Source organism: Homo sapiens, chromosome 8 (assembly GCF_000001405.40).
Source record: "Homo sapiens chromosome 8, GRCh38.p14 Primary Assembly".
Classification (NCBI taxonomy): domain Eukaryota; kingdom Metazoa; phylum Chordata; class Mammalia; order Primates; family Hominidae; genus Homo; species Homo sapiens.
In genome coordinates this window covers 141,228,820-141,241,516 of record NC_000008.11, presented here as the reverse complement: position 1 = coordinate 141,241,516, position 12,697 = coordinate 141,228,820, and the positions used below count along the sequence as shown (strand labels likewise).

At 54.1% G+C, this 12,697-nt stretch overlaps 1 protein-coding gene across 24 annotated transcripts in view, besides 5 other annotated features; it reads left to right on the top strand.

Annotated features, from left to right (window-relative positions):
* The window catches only part of SLC45A4 (solute carrier family 45 member 4), a 101,115-nt gene that overhangs the window by 66,772 nt on the left and 21,646 nt on the right, over nucleotides 1-12,697 (top strand). For 2 of the 24 annotated variants that reach the window (XM_011517177.3, XM_047422006.1), the window contains exon 1: nucleotides 7,835-11,438. The exons of 20 other annotated variants lie outside the window; for them this stretch is intronic. In XM_011517177.3, coding sequence (XP_011515479.2) covers nucleotides 11,405-11,438 — 34 coding nt within the window. In that variant the 5' untranslated portion in view covers nucleotides 7,835-11,404. Of the gene's footprint in view, nucleotides 1-3,757; nucleotides 3,986-5,923; nucleotides 6,194-7,834; nucleotides 11,439-12,697 lie in introns of those variants that run through there. 2 more of the 24 variants (XM_047422007.1, XM_047422014.1) reach the window with 2 other exon arrangements.
* Nucleotides 152-1,134: an enhancer, noted in NCBI's record as "H3K4me1 hESC enhancer chr8:142250482-142251464 (GRCh37/hg19 assembly coordinates)". NCBI's record gives its function as "activates a minimal SCP1, AML or CMV promoter by ChIP-STARR-seq in naive H9 embryonic stem cells {active_cell/tissue: H9 hESC(naive)}" and the evidence as "EXISTENCE:reporter gene assay evidence [ECO:0000049][PMID:30033119]".
* Nucleotides 2,174-2,732: an enhancer, noted in NCBI's record as "H3K4me1 hESC enhancer chr8:142248884-142249442 (GRCh37/hg19 assembly coordinates)". NCBI's record gives its function as "activates a minimal SCP1, AML or CMV promoter by ChIP-STARR-seq in naive H9 embryonic stem cells {active_cell/tissue: H9 hESC(naive)}" and the evidence as "EXISTENCE:reporter gene assay evidence [ECO:0000049][PMID:30033119]".
* Nucleotides 2,733-3,292: an enhancer, noted in NCBI's record as "H3K4me1 hESC enhancer chr8:142248324-142248883 (GRCh37/hg19 assembly coordinates)". NCBI's record gives its function as "activates a minimal SCP1, AML or CMV promoter by ChIP-STARR-seq in naive H9 embryonic stem cells {active_cell/tissue: H9 hESC(naive)}" and the evidence as "EXISTENCE:reporter gene assay evidence [ECO:0000049][PMID:30033119]".
* Nucleotides 10,292-11,147: an enhancer, noted in NCBI's record as "H3K4me1 hESC enhancer chr8:142240469-142241324 (GRCh37/hg19 assembly coordinates)". NCBI's record gives its function as "activates a minimal SCP1, AML or CMV promoter by ChIP-STARR-seq in primed H9 embryonic stem cells {active_cell/tissue: H9 hESC(primed)}" and the evidence as "EXISTENCE:reporter gene assay evidence [ECO:0000049][PMID:30033119]".
* Nucleotides 11,148-12,003: an enhancer, noted in NCBI's record as "H3K4me1 hESC enhancer chr8:142239613-142240468 (GRCh37/hg19 assembly coordinates)". NCBI's record gives its function as "activates a minimal SCP1, AML or CMV promoter by ChIP-STARR-seq in primed H9 embryonic stem cells {active_cell/tissue: H9 hESC(primed)}" and the evidence as "EXISTENCE:reporter gene assay evidence [ECO:0000049][PMID:30033119]".

Here is a 12,697-nt window from a genome sequence, read left to right as displayed (position 1 = left end):
TTTCTTAAATGGACAGCGCCTTCACCAAGTTCAGAGTTGAGAAGTTACCATAGGGCAGACAGCGAGGTTTCCGTCCACTCCTGTCCCGCAGCCTCCCATCTCCCTTCCCCGAAGGCAGCAACATCCCCAGCTTCTACACAGTCGCACCATAGGCAAGCGTCCTTGGACCTCGCCACTGTCCCCAGAGCAACTCTTGGAGAACAACAGTGCAGATAAAGCCTCTGGTTCTGTGTCCACCACGTTGCCGGTGAGCCGTCTGTCGCCCTTCTTGGCTGTGCTGCTGCTCCGCCTGCCCGCAGAGCCACTGCTCACCGCAGCCTGGCCGTTTGTGACGCTGTGTGTGTTATGCACTACATTTCCACACCATTTATTGAACGATGCACTTCTGGAGGAGACTTTTAAAAATATGTACATTCTTAGCCCCAGGCTGAGTCCCATAAAGGAGATGAGAGCACACCCACAAACCGGTGCCCATAGGCCCACAGCGCCCCAAAGCGGGGAGAGCGGGAGGGTGTGAAGTGGCCCCGATGTTAGTCAAGACCCAGGAAGATACTCCCCCTCCCATGGATCCGGGCGGCTGCCCCCAGCTGCCCTCACAGGACGGTCTGGAGGGGAGAGGAGGGCTTTGTCTGGGAAGCGTCCTGCAGGCCCCACTCTGCACATCCACATGCGTCTCCACTGCAGCACGGCAGGTGATGCGTGTGGTGTCTCAGAGCTAGGATCCAATCACAGTGTCGGGCAGCCGGTTTCTCATTTTACTTATTTATTTGTGAGACAGGGTCTCGCTCTGTCACCCAGGCTGGAGTGTGGTTGTGCGATCACGGCTCACTGCAACCTCTGACCTCTACCTGCCAGGCTCAAGTGATCCTTTCACCTCAACCTCCCCAAGTGCTGGGACAACAGGCACTGTCCCCACCACTGGGCCTGGCCTGTGGTCACTTTTTAAAAGCGTGTTGTGGAACCAGGCTGCTCTGGAACTCTTTGGGAGCCGACCTTTCCAAAGAGCCAGCCCCCAGTCTCTGAGTCACGCTCAGCTCCGTTGGAGCACCCCTTCCCGCTGGGATGTGTTTTTCCCATGTAGCCTTTTTCCCTCGGGAAGGAGAAGTCCAGTCTCCCCTCCTGTTGATTGTTTTCTTCTTGGTTCAGGAAGTATACTCAGGGGAAAAGGAAAATCATGTAAAAGAAAAAAGGGGCGTTCTTTTGTTGCAGTCTCAGTTTGACTCATGAGTTAGAACTGGATTAACGTGAGAGCCTAACTTCTCTCCACTCGACGAAGATCGTGAGCAATAGAACATCCGAGAATGAATAAGTGACGTCTGCAGATTTATTTGTGGGGGAAGTCAGGTTTATTCTTGTCCGTCTCAATTCAGGAGGCTGGGCGTAATGACTAAAGCTATGCTCACTTTATATCTGTCCATTTGTTTAAAACACCAGACTTTCCATTCTTCATTGTCGTTTCGTGTGAATCGAGATTCCTAGGATACGGTTTGTTGTAGCTGGAAGCTCGCCTTTTCTTCCTCTGGGAAAAGTCTACTCTTGAAAAGCCTGCCTCACACAAAACACTGGAAGTTTTAAAACATACATTAAGTGCTGGTCATTGCCCTCCACTCCCTGGGTTGTGTGGGGCCCTGACCATTCTATGCTGGGTGCTGGTGGGAGCAGGTGTGCAGAGATGACCAGGCCTCAGCCCCGCACTGAGTCACCTGCAGAGGCCATGCCCTCCAGAGCCCAGTCTCATGAGCCCAGCCCTTCTTAGGAACTCAGCGTGTTGTCTCTAAAACCGGCAGCCGTCTTATGCAACTGACCATAGCTTAGTGTTGAAATCCACCTGAAAACACATCTTTGGCAAGAATTGAGAAACACATTCCTACCACGTTCAGGTGAAAATGCACCTCATGATGCTGTGTGTGTGCGTGCGTGTGTGTGTGTGTGTGTGTGTGTGCTTTGCTCCTGCACCCTCCTGGAGTAAGCACTTACTTTGCTAAGCAGGTGACTAAGCAGTTGGTTACTTTCCTTCTGCAGGATGTATCTAACTGGGCAACTGTGTGAAACTCGGAAGCTGAGCTGTGTTGCAATTCCCTTGCCTGGGAGGTTGGCAAGTATTTTAATAGTGCACTTCTGCAGTTCAGGTACACTCGATGCCTTTCTAGGAGTTCCTCTGTGTGTAATGACACTCTGAAAGGGGTTCAGTAAACCTATTTTGTTTTGTCTGAAAACACCCACTGACCCAGGGATGTCTGTGGATAGCACGCTCTTGGTTTGTCTTCCTGTTTTGAAAAACCACACTCAGCACCTAGCTAACCCTAAACAGTTTCCTTTTTGGCAGGAATAATTCCTAAGGGGCATGTTTGCCGCAGTCACGTGGGTAACCTGGTAGGGCTTTGTCACAGCAAGCATCTGGGGACTAGAGTGAACCCTGCAGAAATTCACCGCGTGGCCCAGGCAGCAGCCCTGGCTCACAGCAGCCGGGTGGTTAATTTTCTCCATCATGCTTCTGGTCTGATGGTTCTTTCCTCCCTATACTAACTCGGATGAGCTGGAAACTGCTGTTGAGGAACCTGGGGAGACTTTACTAGAAGAGTACCTGGCACTGGGGTTTCCCAGGCGCCCTTCATAGCACCTCCCACAGTCTGGGCTTTCATGGGGCTGCGTGTCTGCAGCTCCTCAGGGCGGGGCAGCCTGCTCTGCCCCGCGCCGGCCCCCTGGCAGCTGTACTGTGGGTGCAGGCACCCCACGTCTAGCATCATGCCTGGTATTGGGGAGGGTGCTACGTAAATCTATACTCAAGGGCTCCTCAGAGTTACAAAGTGAGCAGGTCTCTGTGGGGAATGGGTGGTGGATGCTGGAAGAGGCTGGAGAGCTTGGAGCCTGCTGCCCTCCAGGGGCCAGGGGGAGATGCGGTGGTGGGGGAAGACTGTGAATGGCCACAGCTGGATAGACTCGGTGAAAAGCTGTGTGATTCCACTCATAGGAGGGCCCTGGAGGTGTCAGATTCATAGAGGCAGAAAGCAGAATGGCGGAGGCCAGGGGCTGGGGGAGGAAAGAGGAGTGCATGTTTTGTGGGGACAGAGTTTCAGTCTGGGAAGATGGCGTCGCTCTGGGGTGAGTGGTGATGGTTGCACGGCAGTCTAAGTGCGCTCACCGCCCCTGAGCTGTGCGCTCACAGGGATTAAAAAGGTCAATTCGATGTTGTGTATATTTGATCACAATAAAAATGTGAAAAAAAAAGGGGCGACTTTACAAAGCTAAAAATTGGATTCCCTGCTGACTGGAGACTTATAGCTTGATGGTGACGCAGGTCCAGGCTTGGAGCTGCGACTGCCCACTCTAGTCCAGTGGGAGAGGGTTCGGAGACTCGGGCACGCGTCTGCTGCCCAGGAGTCCTAGGCGTCCACGGAGCAGCACAGGTGGCCCGTGGCCAGCTAACCGCACACTAGAGGGAGAACCACGTATGTGGGCTGGACAGCATTCAGGAGATCTTGACCAAAATAGTTGAGAAACTTCTTGTGCAAGGATGTTTTGTTTAGACTGGGAAGCCTGGATTTCCTTGCATTTCAGATCATTGTATTTTTTAAACAATAAAATGTCAACTATGGTAATTTTTCCCAAAGAGTTACACGCCTGTTATTCTTTCGTCAAGTACTTACGGAGCACCTACCTGCTGGATGCTGGGCATTGTGCCCAGGGCTGGAGGTGAAACGGGCAGCCTGAGGCCTCCAGCTCACTTGGAGATACGAGCACGTGACCTGGCGCTCCCAGTTCGGTGAGGTGAGAAGCGTGCTGAGAGGAGACACTGGCCTGCTGAGCACTCGCTCCAGGGATCGTGGAGCGCCACTTCGGGGAAGGCATGGAGGGCGGCGGTGAGGGACACCGTGTGGCTTTGGGGTGAGGGTTGTGATTTTTGCCCTGGAGGCCCTCCAGGTCTGGAGGAGAAAGATTAGGAAGGACGGTTAAAATATGAGGCATTACCTGCTCGCTTCTAAAGGTAAGCATGGAGTACAGGGGAACAGGGCAGAGGGACACCCAGCGCAATGCAGACAGAAAGATGGGCTGGAAGCCAGGAGGCAGTGCCCCCAAGTTGCAAGGGGTCACTAGGGGTCAGTGAAGCAAGGGTGGCCCTGGGCACAATCTGGGCTGTGGTGTGGTGGGGAGACTGTGGCATGTTATGGAAGTGGTGACTAGTCTAGCATGGCAGAAGTCTGTGAGCTCAGTGCAGAGTGGTGTTTCAGGCAGGGAAGGACGACATCACAGGAGGCCTTACGTGCCACTCCAGGGAGGTGATTTACAGAGAAACCTGAGCGATTCTGCCTTTTTTCAATATTGTGCATATGAGCACTGGTAAAGTAACAGTAGTTTTTAAATCCCATATAGTAAGCAATATATCATATTTTGGCAATTTCCAAACTTACTAGATCGCTATAATTTTCAAAATCTTAGAACATGAACCATACACATTTGAATTAAGACCAAAAAAATCAATTATTTCTGCCGAAAAATGATCATTTAACAAAAGCCAAAAGGAAATTAAATATTAACAAAACAGCACAAATGTGTTTGAACTGATAGGACTGGATACCAGCTAGCTCAGGGACCGATGGAGGTTTGTGTTGATCTGTGGGCCATGTGTTAGTGCTACCCTCTGGCCAGCCCTCCGCGCCCTCATCCACTGGGCACCGCCCAGTGGCTCTCTGAGGAAGGGCGCACTGTTCTCAAGGGAATTACTCCATAAATGTTTAATATTTCCCTAAAACATGTATCAAAATAAAGTTAAATTATGGAAATAAGTGGGCTTTTTGTGAAAGTAAGTTTTAGAATAAAATGCGGCAGTTACTTTGCCATTAAAAGCAATCAGTATACAAGGTGTCCACCAGCAGGATGCTTCCCAGATGATGGTCATTTTGTCATTTAAAAAAAACGGACTATTTAGATCTTACAGAAGGATAGGTACATGTGTAACTATGTCAATAGTATGTTAATAGGATTTGTCTTTGGGTGCAGAATAGGTTGTTTGCCCCCTTTTTAAAGTGAAGCATGGACTTGGATGTGCAGACGTATTTTCTAGCTTGTGAACTATTTGGGAACATCACAGAAACATTAAATGTTGAGTTGGAAGTAACTGTTAGACACTTGATATGTGAGGATTTGGGTGTAGATGTGTTACACAATGGAAAACTTTGGGGAAACTGAGAGTTTGAGTTCCAGTTTGAAGGCAGTCAGGGCTGGGCGAGAGGGAAGATCCAGGGACGGCTTTCTCTGGACGCCTACATGTTGAGTTAAACATGGCTTGGGAAGCCAGTGCCTGGGCTTTGGTGTTAGGGACAAAAGTCCTCAGGGACAGTCGGCACTGCAGGCTCTACGCAGGCAGGGGAGAATCCAGGCACTCACTCTCATGTTTGTTTTTGTTTTTGTTTTTGAGACGGAGTCTTGCTCTGTCGCCCAGGCTGGAGTGCAGTGGCGTGATCTCGGCTCACTGCAACCTCCACCTCCCGGGTTCAAGCGATTCTCCTGCCTCAGCCTCCTGAGTAGCCGGGATTACAGGCACATACCACCACACCCGGCTAATTTTTTTATATTTTTAGTAGAGACGGGGTTTCACCATGTTGGCCAGGCTGGTCTCGAACTCCTGACCTCAGGTGATCCGCCCGCCTCAGCCTCCCGAAGTGCTGAGATTACAGGCGTGAGCCACCACGCCTGGCCAACTCTGATGTTTCGTACATTTCAGTCCAGTTGTTTATTTAACTTTTTGAACATGCACACGCTTAAATTTTTCATTCGAGAACGTGACTAATGAGAATTGCTGCCTATGTTTTGACGGCATGGTTTGTTTTGTTTTTTACCTCGGAGCAGTTTTGTGCAATGCCTGCCCCTCTCTCCCTCTTCCGTAAACCCAGGGCCTGACACCTAAGCTCTGAAACAGTTCCCCATTCTCTGCCAAGCCCAAGGCCAGCCTGGCTCCCTGTGGCTTTGTGCTTTCTTCGGATAATTCACCAGTTCTTATAAGCTTTACGTTAGAATCGTTGTGGGGTTCACAGAGGGTCTTTGGTCCTTCATATTCTCCAGAATACGAATACGTCCTCCTCGTCACCGTGACCCTTGCTAGACCATGACAGCCGAGCATGATTTAACTGCAGCCACACCGGAAGTGCACTCTACAGACACACCCGCTGTGCCCTGGGTTGAAATGCCCCTCACGGTAACCTGACGCTCATGATTTATAAATGGGGCCGCCTGTGTGTCTCATGCATTTAAATTGCTTCACCTGCATGAAGAAGGGGGGTGGCATTTGAGCAGTCAGTGCCGTTCCCTGCTGGTTTCATATCACCTGGTTTTCAGTACTGCTGCTGCTGTGGGTCGGGGGCTTCGGAGTGTGACAACCTTGGACAAGCCTTAACAAGCCAAGCCATGGCTCCTGTGGGTGGAGAGCTGAGCGTGGTCACCTGCACCTTCACTCGGAGATGAAGCAACAAACCCAGTGCTGGAGAGTCAGTTTCGGTTTGCAGAGTGCCTTCCGAGCACCTGCTAGGTAGCGGGCGCATTCCTGTCCTCGGGGAAGGCAGACCAGCGCGGGGACACACATTTAAACAGCCAGTATCATGGTCACCAAGGGGGACAGCCGTTCCAGGCTGGGGAGCAAAAGCTCACAGTGACGCAATCCCAGGAGGTCGAGTCCTGCTGGAGCCTGGCTGTGCTGGGGGGAGGGGCCAGAGCGGAACGTGGAGGTGAGCTGTGTCCAGCTTTCCTGTGCCAGTCGAGACCTCTCCAAAGCCTGTTGTCATCAGTGTAGTTATCAGGGAGGTCACCTCAGGCCACCGCCACAGCCCTGACAGGGTCTAAGGGCCCTCTCCTGGCAGCGCGCAGGAGAATATCCCACGGCAGGCAGACTGCATCAGGACCTGGGGTAGGTTCAAGCTGGCAAGTAACACTCCCTGCCCACCTCTGGACCCTTTGCTGGTGCACACGGAGTCCTGTTGGGGAAGCCAGGCCACCTGCGACCCTGTTTGGGTAGAAAGATGCTAAATGTAGTAACAGGAAAGGGAAATGTCAAAATGGGGTAGCAAATAGGGTTCAAATTGCCAGCCATGAGCAGGGAACAAACAACGGACGCCCTTCTTCCACACTGGCCAGGAAGCCCACCCCGCACCCTTCAGTCCTGGGAAGAGCCCAAGCTAGGCCCACGAGGAGGTGGCCTCTGTCTCTAGAAACCAGGGCTCCAAAGGGAAAGGTGACCTCCTTGAGGTCCTGACGGTGAATGAAGAATGTGAATTGGAGGCCAGCACTTTTCCTTCAAACCAGGCTGCCTTCCACCAGCACCAGCAGGCTAGGGCTGAGGTTTCCGAGGGACGAGATGTGAATTAGGCCTCAGTGGACATAGAGAAGAACAGTCCCCACTCCCTCAGGTGAGCGATGCAGGCCCCGATGTTGGCGACGATTCGCTAATGGTTTATGCCAACAGTGAGCTGTTCAGGATGACTCAGTTCTCATAAAAGCCTGGTGATGATGTTTACAGATTTCTGCAGATCAGGAAACGGACACTCAACAGAGCTAGTAGATGGTAGAGCTGGGATTCAGACTCGGAATTCAGCCTCCACTCAACCATGGGGCCCTAGTGCTGGCCTCTGAAGCTCAGCTCAGCCCAGAGTCAGGTCCAGCCGCAGACCTGCTGGACCTGCCTAGCCAAGGCCCTGCACCAGCAAAACGGGAAAAGCACAGCAAAACGGGTGCCACGCTCCATAGCCGTTTCCCAGGGGCCTGCCGTCTTGGGCAGAAGTGTCATAAAGGGAGATATTGTTAGAGGGTTTTTTATTTCATTTTATTATTTATTTGTTTATTGTGAGACAGTCTCACTCTGTTGCCCAGATTGCAGTGCAGTGGCGCACTCTTGGCTCACTGCAACCTCTGCCTCCCGGGTTCAAGCAATGCTTGTGCCTCAGCCTCCCAAGTAGCTGGGATTACAGGTGTCTGCCACCATGCCCGGCTAATTGTTTTCTATTTTTGCTGCAGGTGGTGGGGTTTTACCATGTTGGCCAGGCTGATCTCGAACTTCTGGCCTCAAGTGATCTGCCTCAGCCTTCTAAAGTGCTGGGATTACAGGTGTGAGCCACCGCACCTGGCTGTGTTTTTTTTAATTTTTAAATACCCAAGATCTTTATTGATAAACTGCAATAGTAACCATCAGTAAGAATTCATTTTTTCCTTAATTTCCAAAAACTTGCTAGTTTTAACTTAATAGCATTCTCAAGCCACATCTAAATCAGTGTGTGGCAGTAGGCAGGGTACAATGAACGAATGTCTGCAGCCCAGCTGTGTGCTGGAACCAGCTCATCCTGGCTCCTGAGAGCCAGCTTAAATTTTCAAGAACTTTGCGGGCTGGCCGTTAACACATCCATTGTGAAAAAAGTTACTTGCTTACAGTTGATTTAGGTTAGCAAAGTTAACGCGCACTTAGCACTTCCTAATGCCCGACTCCCTTTCGCCTTGGTGTGTCTGCCTGCTGTACCTGCGGGGCAGAGGTGCCGCTCAGCGCTGGCTGCTGCTCCTCTCCACTCCTGTTCAGCGACGTCACCTCAGCAGCTTGAGATTGGGCGGGGTGGTAGCATCTACACCATGGAAAGTGGCAACCACTGAAAGGAGACGCCAGTCCAGCCCAAGCTGGTCGTGAGCGTTCACCCGGGAGCCATTGAGTGCGTGTGTTCCCGTTGCAGCTCGCGAGCGCTCACCTGGGAGCCACTGAGTGTGTGTGTTCCCGTTGCAGCTTGTGAGTGCTCACCTGGGAGCCACTGAATGTCTGTGTTGAGCCACTGAATGTCTGTGTTCCCGTTGCAGCTGGTGAGCGCTCACCTGGGAGCCACTGAATGTCTGTGTTCCCGTTGCAGCTTGTGAGTGCTCACCTGGGAGCCACTGAGTGTGTGTTCCCATTGCAGCTCATGAGCGCTCACCTGGGAGCCGTTGAGTGTGTGTGTTCACGTTGCAGCTCCTGAGTGCTCACCTGGGAGCCACTGAGTGTGCGTTCATGTTGCAGCAGCAGCATTCCCTGTCTTCACCTGAGGCCTTGGCGTGATTGTTCCATGCTTGGGCATTTGGGGTGTTTCTGGCCATCTGTTATAATCAAAGCTACAAACAGCAGTATATAAGGGTGGCAGCTGGATTTCCCATCTGTCCCTAATTCAAACCATAAAGGCTTATAGCTGAAGGGGACATTTGCTGTCATCTTGTCCAAGCCTTGGACGTGAACCAGCCCATGGCCAAAGCATGGCGCACAGAGCAGCGGGGCTGGCGTGTGATGGATTGTTGAGGTTCCCCGGCCCCATGTGTGGGAGCCTGAGGGGGGTTCCCCCGCCCCCTCCAGTCCCTAGCATCTGTATGAGCTTAGGCAGATGATATAATCCATTGGAGGCTCAGCTTCACCCCTGAAGACCCCTTCTGTAGGCCAGCGGCAGAGGAGAGATGCAGAGCCTGAGTCGGGCACTTGGCGTGTGGGGCCTGGCCCCACTGGAATGTACTGTTCCTGCCATTTTCACTGGGCCTGGGCAGTGCTACGTGACCTGGAGCCTTGGTTACCCAGGCACTACCTTCCAGTGCCCATGGAGGGAGGAGAACCTTGGTAAAGAACTGAAGTGGGGTCTCCTGATCTCGGGCCATTTGCCCTCACCAGGCGCTGTTGAGAGGCGTCGCTGTGTACTGGGCCTTCGCGCACACAGAGCAGTCTCATGTGGCAGTAACTTCCTAGTGGGATCCATGGCTCGGTGCCGTGTGGCAAGAGTGTTTCCTACTGTGCCTGTCAATGTAGTGGGCTGGGCAGGGCCCACAGTGGCTCTGTGTCTGATGGGGGAGGGTCCCCCATGGTCCCTGGGTCTCTGCCTGCACCTTGGCTCGAGGGTTCTTTGTCTGGAAGATGCCAGGTGGCCAGGTGACCCGACCACTCGGTGTGGGTCCCGCAGTGCCAGCCGTCCGCCCACCTGCTGTTGCTGGGTGCTCCCCCACGTGGCATCCGACTCCAGGTAGCTGCGCGGCCCTCTTGGAGCAGCCCCTCCTAATGTGCCCTCTTCATCCAGTGGTGACCTTGTGATCCAAGCCTTTGACCTCGGGGACTTAGCTGGTCATCTGGTCCAGGGAGTACTAGGTTGGACCAAACCGGCCTCCTCATGGTCCTCCCCCCACCAACTTGCAGCGTGGCCTTCACGGGGACCTGCGTGTCCCAGCCCAGGCACCTTTGAGGGGTCCCTGCTGCCTCTGGCGCGAGGGGCCACACTCTCAGCCCAGAGCCAAGGCCTTCCCGGCCTGGCTGTCCCTGCCCTGTCTCCGGCGCTCCTTCCCACACTGTGCCCTTCATCCCACCCTCCGCACCCATCCTGGGACCTGCCAGGTCCTTTCTCTTCCGGGGTGACCTTAAGCCCTAGAAACGTGACCGAATGTGGCTTCTCCCACACTAGTGTTCTTTGCAGAGAGGGCCTGTCAGGTGCTGGTCTTTCCCTCCATTTTACAGGGGAGAAGAGAGAGGCCGGGCGGGGTGGGGGAAATGCCTCACTGGGTGTCACACGCTGTTGCCGCCGCCAGCACAGCGTCCCCGGAGCAGGAGGTGCTCTGCCCCAGCATCCGCATTCCTGGATCCCCGGGTGGGGCAGGCCTGGTTCCGCGTCGTTGGGGCCGTCATCAGTGCCACGTTCCCAATTTGGCTGGCAGAATGCACTCACCACGCCTGTGCCACATGCTCTCTGGCAGCATTTCTCTTCTTTTCATTTCTTCAGAAAATGGACAGTGTCAGCATTGCACTTCCCTGGGCAGGAGACTTTTCAGGTGGCTAATTCCACAGGAAGATAGTGTCAGGTATAGGTGCCGGGGCAGCGGCCGGACTGTCCCCAGACACAGCGTGCGCTCGGGCAGCAAGGCCGGGCGGCAGAGGCAGCACTGGCCTGGGCGCTGCTCCTGGCGGCCCCCCAGCCACCAGGGCCCTACCTCCCCCGCTGCTTACCCCATCCTGGAGCTGGGCACGCTTGGGGCTTCAGACCTTCACGTGGCCACCGGAGCTGCTGTCTCAGGACCCCTCTCCGGCACAGCTGTTTGTCTCCAATACAAGGACTGTCCTGTGAGTGTGCAGGGCCCTGTTGGCCGTGCTGGGAACCCTCGGCACCCATGGGTCTTTGCGGCCGCTTCCCTCTCTGCCTTCTGTCCTGAGAGGCTTTCTGATGGAAGGGCGGGGACTTCAGGAGCGGCCCTCCCTTGTTGAGATGGGGTGCTCTGACAGCACCTTTAACTTTAAAGACCTCCAGGGCCCAGCCCTGACAGCCACAGTGGGTCTTATTTGAGTCGGTGATGCAGAAACAGAGGCCTGTGCTTCTTCAGCTTCTGGGAAACCTACTTCCAAGAGTCTACTCACCGGGCCGGCTGTGTTGTGGAAAATAGTCTAATGCGGCCTCTGACATGTAATTCATTTACCGAGAGTAAGTAGACTTGCAGAGAACTTTCTTATCATCGTGTAATGGTGCTGTGGTGTTGTCCTTCCAGCATTTTGAACTCACTGCCCATGGATGTCATCAGAGCACCACGGCCTCGGGAGTGCAGGCAGGGATCTAGTGTCCAGCGCTGAGCTGTGCGCACCATGTTCTCCTTTAATCTCCATAATGCCCACCTTTCCCAGCGTGCCCCTTTACATGCAGGGCAGCACGTTCAAAGCCCAAGCTGCTCCAAAGTCCCGCAGCCAGAGTGGGGTGGGCTGCAAGCTCAGAGCCGAGCATTTCTGCTTGGAGGCCTTGTGGCCCCTGCTGTTGGCCAGGCTTTGGCTGTGAGGGAGGTGCAGGTAGGGAAGTCAGGCTCATCACCCAGTGGGTCTGTTGTCAGGGCCCACCTGGCACGCACTGGAGTGGCAGCAGGGTCTCTGCCATGGGTGCAGGCCGTGGTCTGCGGGTGCCGTCACCTGCCACGTGCTTGTTGAGAGCCTCCTAGGATGCGGTCCTGGATGGTCCCACTGCCTTGAAGCTTGTGGCCTTGACAAGGGAGTGCCTGGACACCAGGGGAGCTGCCCCTACCCGGGGAAGGCACTGGCTGGACCCTCCCCAGTGGCCGTGGCTGAGGTTCTGAGCGGGATGTGAGCCTGGTGTTTTCTAGAAGAGGAGGTAGGGTGGGGTGGGCGGTTGGAGTCTGGTGTGGAGAGGGAAGCGGTCTGGCATGGGCTGTCCAGCCAGTGGGTAGGGTAGGGTGTTGTGGGCTGCAGGCATGAGGCAGGACTTTGAGGGCCCTGGACGCCACGGCAGGTGCAAGCAGTGGGTTTTAGGTGGTCACTCTGACTGCAGGTGGCGGGTGGGTTACGGAGGATGAGGGAGGAACCAGGGGTCAGTTGGAAGCCTGCTATGCTCACAAAACTCTGCTCCTGAGAGTGCAGCTCTTTTAAGGGCACTAAGCAGTTATTGAATGTCAGGTAAGGGGGGAAGGTAAAGTACTTCAGGCAGAGGCAGCAGTGTCTTCGAAGGTCCCATGGGCGGGAGGAGCCGATGGGGAGACAAGTGTACGGCGGGGATGTGCAGCCGAGGAGGCAGCGGCACCTGGCGCCAGGTGGGCTGTGGGGCGGGTGGTGTTGGTGCCCGGGGTCCTGACAGCATGAGTGGTGGGTGACAGAGCCTTTTCTCTGAGTTAGGGGACCCCAGAGGAGGTCTAGATATGAAGCGGCACATCCAGAGATGGGTTTGGGATGTATTGAATTAGA